Source organism: Homo sapiens, chromosome 9 (genome assembly GCF_000001405.40).
Source record: "Homo sapiens chromosome 9, GRCh38.p14 Primary Assembly".
NCBI classification, from domain to species: domain Eukaryota; kingdom Metazoa; phylum Chordata; class Mammalia; order Primates; family Hominidae; genus Homo; species Homo sapiens.
The window spans coordinates 117,781,885-117,798,028 of record NC_000009.12 but is presented as its reverse complement, the minus strand read 5'-3'; the positions used below and the strand labels follow the sequence as shown (position 1 = coordinate 117,798,028).

The 16,144-nt window shown below is 38.4% G+C and overlaps 1 long non-coding RNA gene across 3 annotated transcripts in view; it reads right to left on the bottom strand.

Moving 5' to 3' along the window:
• LOC105376244 (uncharacterized) overlaps positions 1–16,144 on the bottom strand; it is a 111,773-nt gene that overhangs the window by 73,201 nt on the left and 22,428 nt on the right. For 2 of the 3 annotated variants that reach the window (XR_007061905.1, XR_007061906.1), the window contains 2 exons: positions 13,536–13,693; positions 11,204–11,383 (listed from right to left, as the gene is read on the bottom strand). The exons of the other annotated variant lie outside the window; for it this stretch is intronic. This is a non-coding gene — a long non-coding RNA (uncharacterized LOC105376244). The remainder of the gene's footprint in view (positions 1–11,203; positions 11,384–13,535; positions 13,694–16,144) is intronic. 3 annotated transcript variants of the gene reach the window in all.

Genomic DNA, 16,144 nt, shown 5'->3' with positions numbered 1-16,144 from the left:
GCAAAAAGCTTTCATTTGCTTGTTTTTATATGCAAGTAAAAAAGATACTTATTTTTGTAATTTATTTACTTAGGGACACTTAGCAGGGCTCAGAGGTTTGCATGCATCTTGGCAGTCTGGTTCATCCAATTTTTTAATCAGCTGAAAAGACAATGTGGTTTTATTAAGCACCAAGATTCTTCTAGTGTAGGAAGTGGCTCCTTAACTTTGATCCCTGCTGATTCCACAGGTTGATAAATGTCATAGTCAATTATTAAAGCAGAGTCTCCTTTATACCATTGAATTGAGTATTTTGGTGCAGTAGTAACAGAAAAATGCACACTCTACATTCTGCTCCCCATCTCGTCTCATCTTACCTTCAAACTGACTGGCTTTTCTCACCAAATCAGGAAATTTATCATTAAAAATGGTGTTTGAACCAGAACACTGGGTATCATGGTGACAATGTTGGTAATTAGTATGAGCTGTAGCCAGTTATGGTAGTGGCTAAGATAATTATCTGTGGAGTCAGAAGGATCTTCTGACTGGATTTTAAATTCCAGTTCTGCCTCTTGCTTGCCGCAGGGCTTTGGGCGCATAACCCAAACAAAATCTCAGCTTCCTCATTGGTAAATGGAGAAAACACTGAGAAGGTATACATAGAGTGAGTACCTGGCACACAGTTAACTCCACATTACTGGTAGCAGTAAAGAGTAATGGTAGAAGCAACATAAGTGACATACCAGAAGGAGCAAAATTTTGAAGTTCAGACAGACCCTGTTTATACCTGGAATCAAGATGCTTCATGATTTTGGACAAGTCATTTGATCTTGCTAAACTTCAATTTTTCTCATCTGTAAAATATTGACAATCATATCTAACTTTATAATGTTGCATTTGAGATTAGCTTTGGTGCTTGTCAAGTTTCCTACCTAGAGCTTGACTTATAGAAGGTACTAAAACTAAAGGGAGTTGTTGTTATCATCATAGTTACCATCATGATCATGCTTCCTCATTACTCTCTGTGTGCCTTAGTTTCCTTCTTGATAAAATATAATGGTGATGAAAACCTTGTTCCAGTGCTGTAATTTGTCTACTCCATGATTCATCCATACCAGATGTAACTTCACTGCTGAGAGCACTGGCCTTCAGCCCAGACTCTCTGCTCCTATTTTACCCTCTTCCCCTGTGCTCTCGTTAACTACTACTCTTTACAATTAAATTGTGCAATGAATGTCGAGTATCTGGTTTGAAATAATTCTAGCTTACCACACTAAGTATAAATTTCCACCAACAGCCTTTCTGGTTGGATCATAATTCAGAGGCCATTAATCACCTACCTGGCCTCCAGGACTCAGCAGAGGCAGAGGAGTTAATAAAGACTTCTTAGAGGAAAGAACAAAACCTTACAGCCAGTATTGGAAGATCTCTTGATGATCATTGAGTGGGCTGCTGATTGCTGGAGAAACTGCTGGGTAATTAGAGACCTTAGGGATAGATACAGCACAGGGTCTTCTTGATGTAGCAGTAGTTACTGCCTTATATAAAGACATAGACAGTTTCTGTCTATATGGTCTAAATTAAGAACCATTTGGCAAGAATATCCTCCTCTAGCCACAAATTTCCCTGCGCCTACCTGTTATAACAACTACAATGCTACTGATAGAGATTAGTCCCTCTGAATCATTATTAGTGACTTTACTTATGATGGTTACATTAACGCTACATCACATTTTAAAGCACTTTATAAACTTATTTTCAGTTTGTCATATTTAACTGTCAAATCAGGTTAACAGGAGATACTTTTATTTTCACTTTGTAAAGGAAGAAACTGAGGTACTAAATGTTTATGTGGATTTTCCGTGGTCTCAAAGCCACTAAATGGAAGATCAGAGATTCTAAGCCACACTTCCGGACAGCACATCCATGGCTTTTCCTATATGCACCATATTGTTTACACTGAAGAATGATTTTCAGGTCTAAGTGCAGTTAAGCACTGGTAATATCAATCTAGGAAGATGGGAGGAGAGAGCTTTAAAAAACACAGAATAGATGATGATCTCTCAGAAAGAAATTAGCTCTAGCTTTTTCTGGACACAGAGAAAGATCATAAATGCCTCTGGTGCCATGTTTCATTGATTATCTCCTGAGCAAAAACATGGTAAACTGGAAAGGGAATAGGTCTTGGCTTCAACAGATTTGGCTTTGCTTCTCAACTCTTTTTCTTGAGACATGGAATTTCAGTTCTCTTAATGAGAGAACAGTGTATAATACCAACCTAGCATCTTGGTGATGCGACTTAACTGAAATAACTAATGTGAAGTGACTGGTAAGTAGTCATTGCTCAACTAACGATAGACATCATTTGTTTTGCTAGACTCTGCTCTTTGATTATTATAGTTTCCCACAATGATATCAATAAGGACAACTGTAGTTTAAGTAACAGAAACTTAACTCAAATGGGATTAAGTAAATAATTTTTTTTTTGCCTGACAAAACTAAACCTTCTGAGTACCACTAGATTCTCATGTACATCTGATAATGTCTTTAGGACAGGAAATAATTCATGTGTTGTAATAAAGAGTCCCCAAATATTCCAAATATTTGAGACATTTCCTTGCCTCTCATGTCTCAGTTGCAATAAATAACCCACAAATATCTAACATTCAAAGATTTGCTTTTTGGTTTATGATACATAGTGCTGATAGTCTAAATTATTGTTCAACAAATAATTCACTTCCCTTTTCCTCCCACTATGATTAAGTCTATTATTTACCCCATTAAAGCTGCGCTTAATTATGACTAGCTTTGGCCAATCAAACATTGGCAGTCATCACATGAGCAGAGGCCAAACACATGGTGATTCGGTTTGGCTTCGGCTCCCGCACTTTTGTGACACACCATGAAAATAAAATGATCTAGGTAGCTATTGCCCATCTACCTGGCCCCAGGTTGGCATATGTAGGGCAGAACTCATTTCCTTTGAGGCTGCTGCTCTAAGAATAAGAGATACCTGGAACAGATCTGAAACTAACCTGCAGCCTGGATCCTCGAGTCCAGCCTAACCCAGCCAAGATGCATTCAGTCCACAGACCAATAAATGTGACAATAAATGGTCAATGTTTAAACAACTGAATTTTGAAATGATTTGCTATGTGACAATATTGTGGCAAGTCTCATATGGATATGGGTCAGCTCTTAGTGGAAGAGGTTCTTTGCTCGACTAGGGTACTCAGGCCAACAGAGACTTTACCTCCCTTATGTTTAACAGTTTTATGGCAGCGTAATTGACATACGACAAACTAAACATATTTAAATTATACAATTTGATATGCATGCAATTTGTGTCATATGTATCACTACAATCACAACCACCACAATCAAGAAAATAAACATATCTATCACCTACAAAAATGTAATATCCCTTTGTAATTTCTCCCTAACTCAAACATTTCCCTTACCTCTGTCCTCAGACAATCATTGAGTTTTTTCTATTACTTAGTTTGCATTTTCCAGAGGTTTTAATAAATAGAATCCTAACTGTTCTTTTTTGTGTGTTTTACTCAGCATAATTATTTTAAGATTCACTCATGTTGTGTGTATCAATGATTTATTCCTCTAAATTGCTGAGTAGTATTTCACTTGATTTTAAAAAACATTTTAATCCATTTATTTCCTGATAAACATTTATTTCTAGCTTTTGGTTGTTATGAATAAAGAAGCTATGAATATTTGCATAGAAGTCTTTGCATGGACATAGGCTTTCATTTCTATTGAGTAATACTTAAAATTCTAATGACTGGGTTACATGGTAATTGCATGTTTAACTTTTAGCCACCTATGTTTTCAGTTGTGCAATTCATCAACTCATTGTGGGTTTACCACTCACAGATGATTGTCCTGAACTTACTACCACACTGCCTTGCCTCACTACAGGAGTCTAAGGAAGGAGGAATACACCTATCTTCACCTCATCATGCCTTTGTCTTTCAACATGTTGGTTCTGTTTCTCTTTCTGAAAGCTTCTTTCTTTCTCAGCAAGGCTCTTATTACAAGATGGCCAGGTTACTACCATATCAGGTTACCACCTTACTAGATCAGCAACTGCAAGGAAAATAAAGGGGGAAAAAAAGCACCTTTTTTCTTTCTATATGTTTTAGCAAAGTCCATTGTTCACTTTCACTTAACTGGGGTTATAAGCTTATTCATAAACTGGAACTAGGGAGATGGAATAAGCCAATTGTCAGACTGGGGACTGGGGATTGGATAGGCCCCGGTAGACAACATTGTCAGGGACTTGGAGAGGGAACATTCTCAAAAGGAAAAGCAATGGCATTCAGCCAAAATAAGAAAGAGATAGAAAAACCCATACTTAAACAAAACCCCCTGCTACAGTGATAATAGTGAGATCATGTCAATATTTACGACTTCGTTTTGTATCTAGAGCCTCTCAATGCCAAATTGAATTATGCCACTCTACCACGCTCTCCTCTTTCTCTCTTCCAGTGGGCTGGGATGCTCATTATCATGTTAACATAATGCAGACTTCAAATCCATCTGTCCCTCAATATCAGTAGGATATAAAAGGAGGCTTTACCAAAATAAAGGTAAAATATGTCAGGATAAATCCTAAAGTTTTATCTTCCACTAATTGTCTATTAGTCAATGATTCTACAACTCTTACTTCTCTAACTCTTATATTTTGCTGTAGGAGTCTCTAATATTAAGATTCCAATGTGCCTTGATTCTTGAGACAGCACGTGCTCTTGAGCAGGCCATACTCTCATCTTGTTACCAAGTTCAGATCATGAGGTTGATACATCCCTTAGGGCAGATTGACATTTTCATGTTTCTAGTTAGCAAAAACATGAACTGGGGATGCTGCATTAACAAGCAAATAAATTTATGGTATGCCAGTGCTAAAATGAATCTTGCTATTTGTCGGCAGCTTTTAAAAAGTGAAATATGTATGTTGCCCATAGAACTAGGGAAGTTCTCTGTTCAGAAATGTTTTTCTCTTTTACTTCTCTACAACGCAGAAAGAAAAAAGAGAAAGTTTCAGATACTGTGTAACCACTGGATTATTGATGAGAGGTCGTTCTAAGGAATGGAAGCAGCCTTTGATTATTTTCTCTGCTGCTAAGTCAGCCTCTATAGCTCAGAGTGGGTCGCTAAGCACCTCCTTTGTTCTTTGCACAGATCCCAAAGGATTCACTATGATTCCTTCTCCTCACACTAATAATTTCATACTCAGTCTCTTGGGATTTCTTTTGTACAAGAGGGTAACAAATGGGATTTCTTTTCTATAAGAGGGTTACATCTCGAAGACCCTTGTTTTTTGGCAACACAGCATTGTATACTGGGTAGATAGGACTTTGGTTTTAGAAGACCTAAATTTAAATCTGTAATCTGACACTAACTGAGCCTTTCAGTAAGTGTCAGTGACCTTATGTGTCCCATTCACAACACCTTCACTGAGATTTAGTGACACATCCTAGAAACAATGTTGGGGACAGAAGAGGTGTAGAATAAATGATAATTCTCCCCCATGATTCCTTTCTGTTCCTGAAACTCTTTCCCTAAGGAACGTAAAAATTCTTTAAAGAATGTTACTACGAAGAATAGCAAATGGGTGGGTATACAAACTGCAGAAGTATGTTATAAACTTTTCCCCCCTCCCCAATCCCCCAGGGTGCTAAAGTTTAAATACTATGTGTTTTCATACTGTTCAACTTCAGTCGACATGAAATAGAGTGGAGCCCTTCTGCCATGGCATGGTAATCAAATCAACTAGACTCTCTGCAACAATCTCAACTTCAGATTTCAATTATTTTATCTAATAAACCAATACAATATTCCAGAAAATCAAGCATTTCAAAATCTAAACTATATTGAAGGCTCATACACTGAAGTAGTTCATAAATCTTTTGTGAAAATTTGGTGTTCAGGAAATATGATCACATAGAACTTCCTTTCTTGATGCTTGATGTAAAGAGTCACTGAAATAGCATAATATTGGGCACTTCTAATCATTCCTTTATTATCCCATTAGATTTTCAACAGCTCAAAGTTATAGATAGGGCAAGAATGTTCTCCATTTTATGAATGAGGACTCGGTAGCTCAAATGTATGAAACAACTTTCCCTAAGTCACTTAATATGAGATGGTGCTATGAAAATCAAAGGGAAAGTAATTAGATATGAAATAACTCTGAAAACTAGAAAAAATACATTAATTAATGTTGTTAAAATGTCCATACTACTAAAGCAATCTACAGATTCAAAGAAACTCCCATCAACATCCCAAAGACATTTTTTACAGAAATAAAAGAAACAATCCTAAAATACACACGGAACCAAGAAAGAAATGGCCAAATAAATTTTCAGCAAGAAGGATAAAGCTGGAGGCATTCTATTTTCTGACTTCAAAATATATTACAAAGTTACAGTAATCAAAACAGCATGGTAGACCAATTCATCAGAATAAAGAGTCCAGATATATATATACCAATTCATCAGAATAAAGAACCCAGAAATAAACCCATGTATATACAGTTAATTGATTTTTTTATGAAGGTTCCAATAATATACAATGGGAAAAGAACAGTCCCTTTAATAAATGGCACTGGGAAAGCTGGATATGAACATGCAAAAGAACAAATGAAATTGAATCCTTATGCCATGCACAAAAATCACCAAAAACATAAAGTAAACTAAAAACATAAATCTAAGACCTGAAATCATAAAACTCCTAGAAGAAAACATAGGAAAAATGCTTCTTGACATTGGCCTTGGCAATGATTTCTTGCATATGACACCAAAAACACAGGCAAAAAAAAAAGCAAAAATAAACAAGTGTGATTACATCAAACCAAAAAGCCTCTTCGCAGCAAAGGAAGCAATCCAGAATATTACAAGGCAACCTACAGAATGGGAGAAACTAATTGTAAACCATATATCTGATAAAGGGTTAATATCCAAAAATCTACAACAAAGTAATACAGCTCCATAGCAAAAAAACAAATAATCTGATTCTTTAAATGTGCAAAGCAAATGACTTGACATTTCTCCAAAGAAGATATACAAATGGCCAACAGCAACAGGTATATGAAAAGTTTCTCAACATCACTAATGGAGAAATGCAAATCAAAATCACAATGAGATATTACTGAATACCTGTTAGAATGGTTATTATCAAGAAGACAATGATGGCTTGTGTTGCCAAGAATGTAGGGAAATCAGAACCCCTGTGCATTGGTGGTGGGAATATCAATTGATGTGGTCACTACAGAAATGGTATGGAATTTCCTAAAAATAAATAAATAAAACTATTACATGATCTAGCAATCCCACTTCTGAGTATATACCTATGGAATTTAAATCAGAATCTCCAAAAGATATCTGCGCGCCCTTGTTCATTATAGCATTATTCACAATAACGAAGACATTGGAGATTAAATGTCCATTGACAGATGAACAGCTAATGAAAATATGGCATATACATACAGTGAAATATTTTTCAGCCTTAAAAACATCCTGCAATTTGCAACAACATGGAGTCAACGGGAGGTCAATATGCTGAGTGAAATAAGCCAGATACAGAAAGATAAATACTGCAAGACACCACTTACATGAGAAATCTAAAATAGTCAAACTCATAGAAGCAGAGAGTAGAATGGTAGTTTCCTGGGCCTAAAGGGAGGGAAAAATTGGGAGTCTTTTTTTAAACATGCTTGAGTATAGCATAAATGATCATTATTTTTATTGGTACAAAGTCCACAAGAATTTAAGTAAGATGCTAAAGAAATGTCCCTTCTGAAGTGTGGCAGATTTCAAAATGTGGCCACAAATTTCTCTCATCCTTTTATGCAATGTAACACTGACCATTTTTCTAGCAGGAGGTAGAGTCTATTTCTGCACCCTTTGAAATGTTGAACCCTTTTAAATATGATCTAGCTTTGTGACATGCTTGGACCAATAGACTGCATGATGTGCAAATTCTAAAGAGGCCCTTGAGACAGCTGGCGGCTTCCATTCACAATCTCTTATAACCCAATTGTCATGTATGGAAGGCTGAGCTAGCCATGTGGACAGGTTGCATGCAAAATCAAAGTGATGTAGTTTGGATATCTGTCCCTGCCCAAATGGGGCCTGGTGGGAGGTGTTTGGGTCATGGGGGAGGATCCCTCATGTGCTGGTGCTGTCCTCGGGACACTGAGTGAGTTCTTGCCAGATATGGTTGTTTAAGTGTGTAGCACCTCCCACCCACCCCCCCACTGTCTTTTGCTCCCTCTTCTATGCTGTGATGCGTCTGTTCCCCCCTCACCTTGTGCCATGATTGTAAGCTATCTGAGACCTTACCAGAGGCAAATGCCAGTGCCATGCTTTCTGTACACCCTGCAAAACCATGAGCCAATTAAACCTTTTTCTTTATAAATTATTCACTCCCAGTTATTTCGTTATAGCAATAGAAGAATAGCCTAATACACAAGGTATCTGAGCCAACTGCCCCAAAGAACTGCTAGACATGTGAGACATTAGACATCTTCCAGACAACCTATCAATAGACTAGTCAAGAAAATATGTATTTAAGGGTCCATGATGCTTTTAAAAATAGGTAATTTCTCACTTTTTTCTTCTAGCCAATTTATCAAAATTTATTATACACAATATCGTTAAAAGTTGCTAAATTAGATTCGTACAATAATGGAATCTTAGAATTGGAAGGAACCTGAAAAAAGAGTGTGTATAGGGTGACTAGATGTCTTGGAATGTCTACTAACCTCACAAAGTTATGTATCTTCTCTACTTCTCTCATCTCAAATGGATTTCAGTTTGGGAGAATCCAAACTATTTATGGATTCTCAGGTAAACTCTGCTTGAATATTTCCATGAATGGCTTCATGGTTTCAGAAGCCATTCTACGTGGAGTAGGTGCTCCAATTGATTTAAAGCATTTCCTTTTATTAAGAAAAGACCAGAATCCTCATTTCTCCCACTTATCGGTTTCTGATATTTAAAGACAACTAACTGACTAACTTCTCTGACATCACTAAACTCACAGTCTTACACAAGAATACACACATACATAAAAAGACAGTTTCCTTCTCTTAGCTAACAATCCTAAATCCTGTAAAATTCCTCCACATGTAAGAGTTAAAACCCTCTTATTTTTGCCATCCTCTTCTCTGAAAATAAGATTGTAATAAGATTTGAGAGTTAACCTTTTGACAGAGATTGTGGGTCCCTTCTCTGCCGTTCATTCATTAACCAGCAATTTCCCATTTCATGGAATTTTTAGCAAAACCTTCCAATATCTTGGCAAACACATTCCAGTGTCATTGATTTTGTTTATAGGAATACTGAGCAGGAAATTTGTATCTATGGAGAATGGCAAAAAAGAAAATCAATTTATTTATTAATTAAAGCAGCAAAACTGTAACTGGGGCATGGAAAGAATTTTTTTGGTGCAATGAAACTTACTGAGACTTTGAAAGAATGTGTAACAGAACATGATTCTCTAGTGAGGGACATGGGCTGCATAGTCTAATAGAACTGAATTTAATCCATGTCCTCCTCTCCATTTGTTCTTGTGTGGGTTCTTTAATTTCACTGAGAGGTTACAGACACATCTATAAAATGCAGATTTTGGTAACACCCATAATGCACGGTTGTAATATAAATGCTTAGTACACTGTGTTGCATGTAACAACTTTTTAAAGAATGCTTATTTTTGTTATTTGGAATTAGAACTGGAAACAAATTGTAAGCTTTATCTAATAACTCCTATAATTTCAGTAAGTTCCTTAATCTCTTTGAATGTCAATTCTTTATTTGTATAACCTGATTAATACAACTTAACTCATGGGGATGTGGACGATTTGATTAAGGGAGTCAAAGGCTGACAAAGCAGACAAAACATAGAAAAGTTACATAAACTAGGAAAATAAGTAAGTTCGACATCAGTCCATGACTGATGGAGCCCTTGTTCTCATGGATTGCGTCTCAGACAAGTAAATTATCATTTTCATAAAAGCTATACTGGGGAAGAACAGGGTACTTTGGGAGCCTAGAGAGGGAAATGATCAAGCAAGATTTCCAAGGGGAAATGATGTCTAAGTTTACATGAAAAAGATGAGTCAATGAGAACCAGAAGAAGGGAAGTGGTGGGGCGTGAAGAACAGAAAGCAATGGCACAGGAGTGAGAGGAGTCTTGGAACCAGAGAAAGCCTAGTAAGTCTGAGAAATAAAAGCAGTCCAGTATGTCTAGGGCTACAAGTATGTATCAAATACTATATGAAGCACCTAAAAATTATTATCAAAATTGACCTTTCTGTAGCCCTATGAATTAAAGTTATAATCTCCCCTTCAAAAATGAGAAAACTGAATGCCAGTTAAAAGTCATTACTTAGGTAAAGTTAAATAAATAAATAAAAGAAATATAAGAAAGAGCCAGAATTAGAATTAAAGTCTTCCAGTTCCAAAGCCAATGATTTTTCCACTGCCCAAGAGAAAAATAGAGCTCAAAAAGAGAAGAAAATTCGAGGAGCCAGTACTCCTAACTCCGAGGTTTCCAACCATTAATCCTGAGAGACAGGGTGGGCAGGTGACCACGGGCCCCCGATTCATGCTTATTGAAGCTGGAGGGATGGAAGAAGGGGTAGCCAGTGTGGCCTCCCCAAGGAATTATTCAAAGCTTAATCCTTCTGGGAGAAAGGAATAGTCTTTGGCAAGCACGATTTTCAGATGGTTCAGATGCTTAGGAAACTCTAAAGAAGCTGTAAGGACAGAACAGGCAGGCCTCACAGTGAGAAACATGTCTTTAGACAGGATCCTGAACGTTTAGACCTGATCTGCAACTGCAGTCTCGCTGGGAATTTGTGTCCCACCGTGAGTGATTACAGTTTTCTGTAAGCACAAGTGGCCTTCCTGATAAAATTCAGCTCCAAGGAATTAGGGAAGAGGCCCTCATTTGGTTATTTTTCAAGGCCCTTCCTATCTCAGGCCAGCAGCTTTATTATTCTGTGGCTGCTTCAAATGACCTTCTCTGGAAAGACCAGCACATTCTCCCCCTGTGCCTTATCGGCCTCTCTCAGACCTGCTCATTTGCCTAATGGCATCTCCACAAAAGCAGTAGAAAGCTCCAAATCTGAGCTGAGCAACTTCTCACTTTTGGCCAGCTGCAAGAATTCCCCTGGCCTCTGTGTTGGAGGCTCAGAACTCACCGAATATCCCTGCTTTCCAACTTTTGACCTTGCTGCAGTCGATGCAGACATGAGAATTTGCTGGAACTCAGACTTTCAAGACCCACTGGGCTCTCCAACGTGTCATGTTCTCCAATATTCATTAGCTGGCAGTGCACATATTTGTCATGGGCTGCTTGCTGCTTCACTTTCGTGTTTGGACTATGAGCAGGGAGCAGGGGTGGATAGAGAAAATATTGTGTGATGGGTAATAGTTTTCTGATCAGATAGATTTAAGGAATCTTATACCTAGATGTTTGACCTTACATGCTACTTAGATTTTCAAAGTTTCATTCTCATTCATAAAACAGTTATACCCACTGCGTTTCACTTTGCCCACTCTACTTGGCCATACCAACCTATTTACCTTTCCTTGATTAGGACAAATATGCCACTGCCCCAGGGTCTTTGCACTTGCACCTCTCTTCGTCTGATATGCACTGGGGCCTTCTCAAATGTCAGCTTATCCGAGAGGCCTTCTCTAATATAAAAAGCAACTCTGCCTCTCCTGCAATTCGCTAAGCCCTTAAACAATGTTTTTCATCATATTGCAAGCTGCTACACTATTATGTTTTAAATTTGTTTTATTTTTTGGCAACCCTAGAACGTAAGCTTTATGTGCACTGGGAATAAATTTCCCCCTTTTTTCTAGTTCTACCAAATTATACTTTACATAAAATTATAATGCATTTACTCATTTTAGTGCATATTTTCATGAGGTTTTGAAAAATAAATATACTGTGATCGGATATAGAATATTTTTGGTCACCCCCAAAAGTTCTCTGAGGCCCACTCCTCATCCTACACAACACATTGATCTGCTTTCTATAACTATAGATTAGTTTTCCTCTTCTCAAATTCATAAAAACTGAAGTATACAAAAAGTAATTTTTTTGTGTCTGGCTCCGTTCATTGAATATAATTTCAAGATTCATTCACATTCTTCTAATGATTAGTTGTTTGTTTCTTTTTATTAGTAAATAGTATTCCATTGTGATGAATATATCACAATTAATCTACTGACCTGTTGATGAACATTTAGGTTGTTTCTAGGTTGGGGCTACTATAAACAGAGCCACTATGAACATTGTGCACAAGTCTTTTTGTGAATATATATTTTCATTTTTATTAGATAAACACCTAGAAGTAGAATTGTTACTAGGTAATAGGTTAAGTGTATGTTTCACTTATCTCTAAATCTCTATTATTTTGCTGATATATCCATGCTATTTAGAACAGTGTCTAGCATGTACTAGGCATCCAATAAATATTCATCAATTGAAAAACTTTAACAATTAACTGTAAGAGTAGATATAAGTCCAGATCACTCTGTGGTCCAAGTTAGAGCTTTGTCCACTGCTTCAAACTGATAGATGGGGGGAAATTATTGATGTGTAGCCCCCATCTCAGACTTGGGTGGGCAATGCCTATGTGAGAAGCTCCTATGAATCCCTTGCTGAAACCATTCACGATAGAGCATGAGTGGAGACAACCCTGACACCCTGACATGAGGCAATGTTTCCCTGGCCTTTATATTTAACAGAACTTGCCTGGCTGTTTCCTTGCCACCAGGGAGCTGCTGTTATAATCCCCAGAGTTCTTCCTCTCCAGACTCTCACAATCCCATTATCCTCCTGCCTGGAGAGACAAGCTCATCTGACAACACTGCCAGCACAGAGACTCATGTGGATGTATTAAATTCACCACCTGGTGACTATAATTAAGATTCCTCTCCTTTGATTTATTTTGGTTGGGGGAAAGAAATCATTTAAGTTCTTGGAGGTGCAGATAAGAGATGATATATGTCCCAACTATTTCCATGATAGTAACACTTCCTGCCGCTAACACAGATGGAAACCCAACTTCAATCACATCCATACTTGACTACCCGTAGCGGAGGAATGATGAGGTGGTAGAGGGAAAAAAAGAAGAAAAGAGAAGTAGTCCAGAGGAAGGAGATAATGAGAAACATGCATGATATTTCTGGGAAAGAGATTTAAACCAAAGAAAGACGCACATCTGCTTGATACACAGAATTGTCTTTTCCAACTGAGAATGCAGCCCCTCTTTTCAATCAGTTGAAGAGTCGGATATCACCTTGAAGATGATCTAAACCAGGAGTTCTTATCCTGATATCTGGAGGTAGACTTGTAGGGAAATTACGAACTTCCGGACATTGAGGAGGGCAGTAAAAGTACCTAGCTTTCCTCAGTCTCTTAAAGCGGTCTAATGACTACAAAGACATTAACAGACCCAGTCAAATCCCCAAATTTTAAGTTAAAGATATTTAAATCCAGAGAGATAAGGAACTTACCCAAATTCATACTGCTGGTTTATGTCACAGGTAAAACCAGCACACAAGTTTCCTGACTCTCGTATTTGGCCCATTTCATCTTAGCGCTTGTCTGCACACCTGTTAGCAGGAGGCTCTGTGATTTGCTCTATATTCTAATCAGAGCCCCATAACAACTCCTGGAGGTGGACAAAGCAGGTGTAAGTAATGCCTTTCGATAGAAGAGAAAAACAAGCTCAGAGCAACTCAGGCAACTCATTTATTCAAGATGAACTTAGTAGCCCTAAATTGGTGTGGCTTCAGGGATCATGATTCTAATATCTCCTTCAGTCAACAACAGATCCTTACACCCTCAGGTGTGCTGCTCCCCAATCTCCAAGCCTGCACAAGTGTGGGTGTGGCTTCAGAGTACTGGGCCAATCAGACTATGTCACTCTTCCGGTGACTTTGACCCAAGGTGTGAGCACATGGTCCAAGCTGAGCCAATCAGAAACCTCATCTGGATTTTGGTTTTAAACTGAAATTGAAAGTGAGTTCTTGATCTCTGGTAAATGATTGAGGAAGTGACACCAAATGAAATGATTGCTGCATAGAGAGGGCTAGGAGAATAAGACTGGCAGAGCATGGATGAGGGAAATGGACAAAAACAAAAACAAAAGTCTTTTAACATAAATCCTTTGGTCTTTTTTCCTCAAGGCTTACTTTTCCATCACTTCCTTATCTATGCAATATCCTAGTATACTCCTAATAATTCTTTTTTGGGAGGCGGTGAAGTAGAGGAAAATGCTTGGATAAACTACATTCAGGGAGATATGCTATTTGCACCTGAGTTCTGCCTAACAGAATGCCTAAGTGTTAGTCAGCTGGCTTAAGCCCAGGCCATCGCCCTTGGACTCAGTCTCTTTGAGAAAGCCTTCAGTGTTACTTTCTACAGCCACTTACATACCTTCACTGTCAGCAGGAAGATGTCTGGGGGAATTGGCTTACCACTAAATGCAGGACCCCGAGGAATAGCGCGGCTCTCTCTTCCTTCTAATCTCAAAGTTAAGAGGAAGGTTTCTTATCCCTTTTCTTTCTCTCTTTATTTCTTTCTCACTTCCTCTCTCCTTATACTGGCTCCCTGGCATCTTTTACTATCCGTGGAGTTCTGATGCCCCCTGCTGCTGACTGCAGGCTGCTGGCTGCTAACTGCAAGAAACACAGGTTTCCCTGGTTGCAGGCTCTGTGTTGGTTGTCTGTGCTAGTTCTTCCGCCTCTCATTATGTTTTCCTCTTATGTGATCTAATACTCTGGCTGTGTTTTCTCACCGTCTTTCTGTGCCACTTGTATCTTTTCCCCCACACCCTCGTCTCAACATCTTTCTCATCACCTCTTTCCTCTTTCAGTTTCAGTTTTAGACTTCGTTCTCTCTGCTGTCATCTGTGTCTCAGTCTATTCTTGAATAGACTGGTTCCCTGCATCTTGAATTCCTGGTTCCTGCATCTTGATCTGTGTCACTGACTCAGCTTCTGTTGCACAACCTCACCCACTCATCAGTGGAATTTTTTTTGTTTTTGTTTTTTCACAGAGAGACTTGCCACATGTTCCTCTCATTGTCCTAAGATAATTTAACAAGCAGGTGATTAGCCTTAACTGAATAGGCAGGGTGGTTAGCTCTTTGCACAGAAAGTTCTTACAAGTAAAAATAAAGCATTTTCCAGGGTTCTAGAAAGTTAGATTTCTTCCACAGTTTTGTGTAATATTTGGCTTTTTTTTTTTCTTTCTGAGGTATAGGATTTTAAAATTTATACCTGGTGGGAACTAGAAGTGGGGAGGAGGTGAGTATTGGAAATCTCTGCGGCGAGTTCTAGATTGGAGAAGGGAGTTCTGGAAGTTATGGTTCCAGGGCTCCCTGTGAGAGGGCAGTGCTTCGGACATCTGTGCCTGAGCTGCTCTGCGTATGAGGTGCCTGCTCAGCAGGTCCTGTTGATGGATCGATTCTTTGGCTCCTAGGACTAATACTCTAAGAACCCCACTGGCCTGAGTTTGTTTTTCTGCCAAAGGGAGCTATCATTAGCATTTGAGACAAATACCCAGACAACATCCCCAAAGTGTATCTCCATCCGTCTGGGTTCACAGGAGGGAGGGCGTATGCTTGCTTATGGAAAGCATATGATTTACGCTAGTGCCTGTGGCTCTCCAAAGGAGAATGCAGCTTAGGGGTAGCATGAAATGGTGTGTACCAAACACTACCAGGCCAGGTGAACTGCATACATGATTCCACTGTCACAAGCATCCTGCAAAGGCTTGTTTTCTGGATTAAAAAACTGAGCTTCAGAGAGGTTAGGTACATTCATAGCCAGTAAGTAGCAAGGTTTAAATCTGCCTTTCAGGTGCAAAACCATCAGGAATATAAATCAAAAGCACAGGTTAGGTCATAAGGAGACCTTGGACTAAACTCTTTACTTCCCTGGGCTCGAGTTTCTCCATAAAGGTGATGATGGAGTCATCTCATGATATTCTAGGGTCTCTCTAAGTTGTAACATATCAAGATTCTGTCACTCTGTTACTCACTACTTTCCCTGACATCTTTCCAATTTGTTCTGCTGTTTAATTTATGAGAACATATATTGTTCTCATAAATTGTGTCC